We start from the raw sequence: 2,602 nt of genomic DNA on the forward strand, positions 1-2,602 counted from the left end.
CAGAGAACAGGAAAGGACAGGCAAAGGAGACTGGATTTTATCTGGAGGCCAATAAGGAGTTGCCTAAGCTTTGAGAGAAGGAAGTGACACAGAGAAGGGTGTCAGGTGTTTCCATGACAGCCTTTCAACACTGGACTCATCAACACTCAGATACATTTGCTGACTATCGCCAAAATACCTGCCCCCTATCTGCCCTTTAAAGACAGCTAACCATAACACATACCAAGCCTTGCAAGTATGTAAAGCAAGCAGTAAACTATAGGTCTTGTTTCTGTAATAGAAAGTTAAGTATAGTAGATGGTTAGGAGCCTGGGTTTGGGAAGCAATAGACTTGGGATTCAAATCTTAGCTCTGCCAATGACTAAAGAGTGACCACAACAAATTACTTAACCACTCTCTCACCTATAAAATTTGGTAGTTATCCTATTAACTCACTGGGTCATTGTGAGGTTTAAATGCCATGCATGTGAAGCACTTAGTACCTGATCCATAGAAACTGCTCACAGGACTCTATGACTCATGATTCCTCCCTCTCATCTCTTTGATTCTGGTTCTCTATGGCCTCCAGCGTTTGATACTGATTTCTGTTCTGCATCATGTTTAAAAGTCTGATTGGGCTTCTTTATCATCAGGGACATCTCAGGAAAAGATGATCCACTCAAAGGGCTTAATCCTGAAGAGAGTATCATAAAGGAACTACTTACAGAGATACAGACTGGGTGAAGAAGGCAAGGGATGGCAGAGCATCAATGAATGAGAAATCATGATCATTCTTAGGTGTAAAGGTGTTATTGGAGCTAGAGCTGCAGATGCCCTGTGGCCTTAGAGGAATGCAGCCAGCCTAGAACTCCAAGAGGCAGGAAGGGAGCAGTGTGTGTACAGGGGATAAACATAATCTCTTTCTCCTCCTTCCCTCTAAAGTTTTGCCACATTCATATGGCACAGAGAAAAGTGCAAGTGAGTTAACAGAAACCCCTGATGCCTCTAAAATGATGTGGTATTCATCACATCCACTCACACTCCAAGGGTCAAAGCAAGTTACACGGCCATGCCCAGAGTAAACGAGGCAGGAGATATGATCTCCTTATGGTAAAAGGAGATTGAATAATTCTGAAAAATAGTACAATCTATCACCATAGGATGTTACAACTCTGACCGATTGGAAAGAACAGAATCTTTGGAGTCAGAAAGGCTTGAGTTTGAATTTTGGTATCACCAGCTTCCTAGCTTTGTGGCCACAGAGAAGTTAGAACTCCCTGAGCCTCAATCTCTTAAAATGTAAAAACCTGCCTCACAGGATTGTGTGAATATTAAATATACCAGTACAACGCCCGAAAAATACTATGATATGTGCTTGGTAAATACCAACCTTGGCCTCTTCTTCAAGGATTAACCAGAATGTAATTATCCCAAAGGGAGAAGTCAGGGAATACAAGCCACATGTAAACACATTTTTTTTCCCTAATTTTCCTAATAAAACTAAGGTAGAGTCCCAAATGCCTAATGCTTTTATATACTATATCTCTTTGAACAGTGTAGTAATAAATCACTTAGAGTGAAGGAAGTATAGTATTACTCTTCTGAATAGGATCATTAAATGCAATCAATATCAGAGTAGAATTACTTTATAATTACCTTTATAAATTGATGATTCACTTTAACACCTATTCTTGGCTTATGAAAATGTTATCATAAAGCTATAATAATTATAGTTAGAAAACTGGCCAAATCAAACAGTGAATTATACTCTGTCCTTGGATTGTTTAGACTTCCCTTATGACTGGCCCAGATTATTTTAAAAGTTATTGTCGATTTTTAGCTCATAGTATCTATCTCTTTTAAAATAACAATTATTAGTTGTTACTTTTTATTACGTAAAAAATAACTGTATCTCATACACACACAGACACACACACAAATGAAACAGTACATTTTAATCAAAATAACTAAAAAGTCAAGTCACTCCAAACTAATCAGACAGAGTAAATTCAGTCAATGTTTTAGTATGTATTCTTTCATTTTTTTCCCCTGAATTGATAGGTGGTAGAATGTATGTGTGTATACATACACACAGACATGTATACATATGTATATGTTTATATTGCTGTGTATTTACATATACTTTAACAAAATGGGGTTATATATTTTATTTTATTATTACTATTTTTTTGAGACAGAGTCTCATTCTGTCGCCCAGGCTGTAGTGCAGTGGTGTGATCTCGGCTCACTGCAGCTTGTGCTTCCCAGGTTCAAGCAATTCTCATGCCTCAGCCTCCCGAGTAACTGGGATAACAGGCACACACCACCAACCCTGGCTAAATTTTTTTTGTATTTTTAGAAGAGACGGGGTTTCACCATGTTGGACAGGCTGGTCTCAAACTCTTGACCTTTGGTGATCTGCCTGCCTCGGCCTCCCAAAGTGCTGGGATTACAGGCATGAGCCACCATGCCCAGCATATATTTTATTTTATTGCCTGCTTTTTCATTTAGTTATATACATATATGCCCTTGTTTTAATGATTACATTTATGGTTTCTATGCATATTTTTCAATGAGTACCTTATTATTGGATGTTTGGATTATTTGTCAGTTTTCTATTATT

This window comes from Homo sapiens, chromosome 12 (genome assembly GCF_000001405.40).
Source record: "Homo sapiens chromosome 12, GRCh38.p14 Primary Assembly".
Lineage (NCBI taxonomy): Eukaryota > Metazoa > Chordata > Mammalia > Primates > Hominidae > Homo > Homo sapiens.